Below are 6,322 nucleotides of genomic sequence, written 5' to 3'. Positions count from 1 at the left end.
TATCCTGGGGTTAATTTGGTATATGACAAATCCTTAAAGAAAGATGAGGAAAGAACAAAGTGAAAATATTGTAACCCAATATGTTGTGGCAAATACAAGCTATTTATGATTTCAACATTAGAAAGCATCACAAATTGTTCTATTTTAAGCTTGTAAAATAGGTATTAACTATTTCAGAGTAATAAGATAGATTCTTATTTGAGTCTAAATAATAATAAACTGTATTTTACTCAATAGTAATGCATAACACAATATTTAAACTTTAGGTGAAACATAAAGTAATATTTTGATGAACCCATAGGAAACTTGAAGGGAAATAAAGTATTTGAGTATTTTTATAACTTTGAGGGTGGAGAAGGCTGTGTATTTACACACAAAGGAAGAAATGCTAAAAGAAAACACGAATAGAATTGGCAACATAGAATCTTTGGTCTTTTACATGTCAAAACTTAAAGACAAACAACTAATTGAGGGAGATAAAGAACATAGAATCATGCTACCAAATCAATAAAATAAACACCCTCAACTAGAGTGGGCAATAGATAGTTTACAAAAAAAGAAACGTAAATGACTAATAAACATAGAAATCTATTTAATGCCATAATAATTAATAAAATACAAATTAATGCACCTCTAAGTCATATTTTTCTCCTACTACATCAGCAAACCGTGTTTTTTTAAATGAAATGATTTTTAGTGTTGGTGAAGATGAAGAGAAAGAGGCTGTTTTTTATTTTGTGGTAGTAATGTTGAGTAATAAAAATGTCTCGAGAACAATTTGGCTATGTATATTAAATATATATTATATCAAGTTATTGGGCAAGAAAATTCCACTTCTATTAATTCAGATGAAGGAAATGATTATAGATGCATATTGAGATATACATTGAGATTTGTGTGCAATGATGTTCTTTGTATTTCTGCTTTGTCCTACATGAACAGCCACATTATCACGTAGGATTCTGTGATAGGAAATGAGGCATTTGGGAAGTATATAGCATTTGGCTGAAACATTATGAATAGAGAAGGTAAATTCAAATCCTGAAGGAAAATTTATTTCTGTTAAGATAAGTTGCTGTTTTTTTAAATAATAAAAGGGAGCTCATGTAATCAAACCTGCCCCTGGTGACTAATTTGTTCTCCGACATGCAATACATTACCAGAGCCTCAGAGTTGATTATTCAGGATAAAGTTTACATGCCTAAGAGTGACAGTAGCCAGCTTGATCTTGGTGAGGCAAAATGAATGATTTTAAGCCCATGCATGACCTCTATTGTGGCAATCTGGTCACTTTGTTCATGAATTTCATTTTATAAGAAGACGTTGGCTGGGAAAAGAACTTGACATCTACAAGGTGAGTCATCTTATCTACCTGATTAATCAATTAATGGGTACCCTCCTTGCTGCTGTAATCATACGTGACATGAATATTCTTACATTGTGTCCATCATGCCTTCTATCAATTCTCCAGTTGTGTTTTCTCCAGGTTTCTGACTATTCATCTCAACCATTAGCCATGGCCAATGCTGCATCTCATAAATTTTGATGTTTCAAGTTTTTTTTTTTTTTTTTTGTAGAGACAGGTTTCTGCCATATCACCCAGGTTGGTCTTGAACTCCTGGACTCAAGCAATCTGCCTGCCTCAGTCTCCCAAAATACTGGGATTACAGGCATGAGCCACCGTACCCAGTTATGTTTTTATTTTCATCCAGTTGAAGATGTTTTCTCATTTTCCTTGTGATTTCTTCTTTGACCTATGAGTTATTTAGAAATGTAATGTTTATTTTTCAATTATCTGGTGATTTCTCAGAATTCCATTGTGTTTAGAGAATGTACTTGGCATGATATCAAGTGTTTAAAATGAATTGAGATGTGTTTTACAGCTTAGCATATGTTCCATGTATGCTTGGAAAGTGTGCATTGTATTGTCAAATGGCACGTTCTATACTTACCAGTAAGGTCAACTTGTTTGGTAGTGTTAAGTAAGTCTTTTTACCCTTACTGATTTTCTTTCTAGTTGTTCTTTCAATTACTGGAGATGAATATTGAAATCTCCAACTAAAATTATTTAATTTTCTATTTCTCCTTTCAATTCTGTAAGTTTTTGCTTTATGTATCTTAGGGCTGTGTTGTTAGGCACACATTTATAATTTTTTATATCTTTCTGAGGAAATAACTTTTTATAATTGTGAAATGTCTCCCTTTGTGTTTAGACATATTCCTTGTCTTAAAGTCTGTCTTTATATGACATTATAGCCACTTCTTCTATACCATTACTGTTTGCATGGTCTTTTAATTTCAATCTATTTGTGTCTTTCCATCTGAAGTGTGCCTTAATCCATTCCAATTTTTCTGTAAAATTATTTTTAAAAAATTAAAAGAAAAAATATTGTAAAAAATAAAGTGTAAACAACATATAGTTGAAGCTCCTTTTAAATCCAGTTTGACAGTCTCTGATTTTTGATTGAAACATTTAGCTCAAATATAATGTAATTATTCAACGTGGTTGGATTTATACCTGTAATTTTGCCAGTGTTTTTTGTATGTCTCATGTCTTTTCGTTCCTGTGTTCCCCCTTACTTATTTTTTTAAAATAAAAAAAAATGTATCAGGCCATTTTACTTTCTTCATGAAATTTTTAGCTATATTTTTTGTTATTTGTGGGTCTGTGTGTGTATATTTATGTGTATATATGGTTGTTCTCGGTATTGACATATGTGACTTAAACTTATCATGATTTATTTTAGGTTAATATTGACTTATTTCCAGTAAATATAGTAAATTTATTCCAATATACATTTGATCTTTGAACAACATGGGTTTGAACTGCATGGGTCCACTTATATATAATGTGGGACTTGAGTATGTGTGGATTTTGGTATATGCAGGAGATCCTGGAATCAATCCCCCAAGTAGGCTCAGGGATAACTGTAGTTCCATTAACTTTTCTCACCTTTGTGCTATTATTATCATATATATTACATGTATACATGTCATAAATTGGACAATATAGTCTTAGAGTTATTGCTTTATGCAAGCTGATGGTTTTAAAAAATATTAAGAGAAAAGAGGATATGCATATATACAGTTTAAAAAATCCATCTACCTATTCACCATTTCTGATGCTCTTCCAGGTTACCATTTGGTATCATTTTGTTTTAGCCTGAAGGCTTCATTTGGTATTTCTTATAGGGAAGATCAATGATTTCTCTCAAATTTTGTTTATCTGGGGGTGTCTTTATTTAATCTTCATTTCTGAAAGATAGTTTTCCTTGATATAGAATTCTTGATTGACACTGTGTTGTTCAGTATTTTGAATATCCTATTCAACTATCTCCTGATTTCCATCATTTCAGATGTCAACTGTTAATTTTATATTGTTTCCTATATTTGATGCATTGTTTTTCTATTGTTGCCTTCAAGATTTTCCCTTTGTCTTTCAGCAGTCTGACTATGACATGTCTGTGTTCAGATCACTTTGTGTTTATCCTTCTTGGGGCTCTTAGAATTTGTAGAATTTGTTTGTTAATATGTTTCAAAAAGTTGGGGAGTTCTCAGACACTGTTTCTTCAAATATATTTTTAGACATTTTTTCTGTCTTCTGTTTCTTAAACTTTCATTATATATGTATTGTAATGCTTGATATTGTCCTAAAGATTTCTGACACTTTATTTTTCTTACTTCTTCAAATTGGATAATTCCTATTGATCTACCTTCAAATTCACTTATTCTTTCTTCTGCCATCTTAAATCTGCTGTTGAACTCATTCTAGTAAATTTTCCATTTTTATTGTTGTATTTTTCAACTCTCAAATTTCCATTTTTAAAAGTTTCTACTTAATGAGATTTCTCATTCATTGGTTTATTGCCGACATATTTTTCTTTAATTTTGTGAACATATTTATAATAGCTTCATTGAAGTATTTGTCTGATAATTTTGGAGTCTGGGCTCATTCACAGTTAATTTCTATTGATCGTTTTTTCCCCCTTGTGTATAGGTCACACCCTCCTGTTTCTTTTTATGACTAGCAATTTTTGGTTGAAAAGTTGATATTTTAGATAATATATTATCAAAGCTATTCTGAGTTTGTTTGTTTGTTTTATTTGTTTTGAGTCAGGGTCTCACTCTGTCACCCAGACTGAAGTGCAGTGGTGCAATCACAAGCTTACTACAGCCTCTGCCTCCAGAGTTCAAACAATCCCCCTACCTCAGCTTCCCCAGTAGCTGGGACTATAGGCATGCATTACTACACCTGACTAATACAAATTTTTTTTTTTTTTTTTTTTTTTTTTTTTTTTTTAGAGACAGGATCTCACCATGTTGCCCAGGTTGATCTCAAACTCCTGGGCTCAGGCAATCCTCCTGCCTCCACCCCACTAAGTGTTGGGATTATAAACGTGAGCCAACACACCTAGCCTGAGTTTTTGAGGGAAGGTTGTTGTTGTTGCTATTTGTACAGACAGAGTCTTGCTATGTTGACCAGACTGGTTTCAAATTTCTGGCCTCAAGCGATCTTTCTGCTTCAGTCTCCCACAGTATTGGGATTACAGTCATGAGTCTGGCCATATTAGTTATTTTTAATAAAGTTCCTAGACTTAAAAGCAGAATGTGCCTCTCCCATATTATTCATTTGCTCATGTCTTTTAAGTGTTTCTATTCCTGTTTTTGTTTTTTTTTTTTGCCTGGCTTTCTAGAAGTTAGCACTGTGTCTACATCATGCTTGTCCAACATGTGGCCCATGGGCCACATGCGGCCCAGGATGGCTTTGAATGCAGCCAAAGGCAAATTTGTAAACTTTCTTAAAAAGTTATGGGAATGTTGTGATTTTTTTTTTTAAAGTTCATCAGCTATCGTTAATATTAGCGTATTTTATGTGTGGCCGAAGACAATTCTTCTTCCAATGTGGCCCAGGGAAGCCAAAAGATTGGACATCCCTGGTCTACATAATTTAGTTTAGTGGTCAGCCACTGATTTGGTAGAGTTGTGCTTAAACACCTCAAGGCCCATAAGGCTTTCCATCTTATATTGAAGTGACAACTACCCCCTTACTTGTGCTTTTTGCCATCCCTTCACAAGTCTCTCTATGCATGAATAGTATCCTACTGGTCTAGGGATCTGTGAGGAGTTTTTCTCCGTTCATCAATGGTTCTCTTATTTCCAGGATCTCCCTGTTAAGTTCTGGTTAGTCAGTCACTCACCCCAATTAGGATTGCAACCTCGGTCTAGTAACACTGTGGGTTTTCCCCTGTCCATCCCTATCCCAAATCACTATTTATAGCTAGAAAAACTATGCTCTTTTTGTCCCCTAATCTAAATCACACTCAATTCTCTCTGGCATCAAACCTCCTGGTTTTCATGGCCTGCCCCAGCTGGTCATGTTTCATTCATATTAACCAAGCCAGTCTCAAAAGACCACATAGTATATGACTCCAAACATGTAAAAGTCTAGAATAGAGAAATCTGTAGACACAGAAAGTAGGCTAGAGGTTGTTTAAGGTTGAGGGAAGGTTGGGATATGACAGGTGGGTGTGGCGGTGATAGTTAAAGGGTACAGCATTTCTCTTTGAAATGAGAAAAATATTTCAAAATTGACTGTGGTGATGATTGCACATATCCATGAACATTAAAAACTATTTAGTTGTCCATGTGAAATGTGTCAGTTATATGGCATGTAAATTAATTATATGTCAATGATTTTTTTTAAAAAAAAAAAAGGAACACAGAGTTGTGGCCAAGAGCTATTCAAGGCAAAAAAAAAAAAAAAAAAAAAAAAATCAGAATATAGTCTAATCAAGCAGTGAAGAAATTTGCAGAATCCAAATAAAGGCAGAAGGAAATTGTTTACTAACAAACATCAGGTGCTGAATTAGAAGATATTATGAATGAATGAAAGATGAATTAATTATTTAAGGTATAAAAATCCAGGAGGCATAGGTTACCAAACTATACTCCAGCTATATGGTATGGACTTGGAGTTTCTTGTTGACACAAGGGCCTTTAAAAACAGTTCATTAGGCCAGGTGCGGTGCCTCATGCCTGTAATCCTAGCACTTGCTGAGGCTGAGGTGGGCAGATCACTTGAGGTCAGGAGTCTGAGAGCAGCCTGGCCAACATGGTGAAACCCTGTTTCTACTAAAAATACAAAAATTAGCTGAGTGTGGTGGTGCACTTGTAGTCCCAGCTACTCAGGAGGCTGAGGCAGAAGAATTGCTTGAACCTGGGAGGTGGAGATTGCAGTGAGCTGAGATTGCACCACTGCTCTCCAGCTTGGGTGACAGAGTGAGACTCCGTCTCAAAAACAAACAAACAAACAAATAAAAAA

This window comes from Homo sapiens, chromosome 7, assembly GCF_000001405.40.
Source record: "Homo sapiens chromosome 7, GRCh38.p14 Primary Assembly".
Taxonomy (NCBI): domain Eukaryota; kingdom Metazoa; phylum Chordata; class Mammalia; order Primates; family Hominidae; genus Homo; species Homo sapiens.
The sequence above is the reverse complement of the archived record's forward strand: the minus strand, read 5'-3'. Positions refer to the sequence as shown.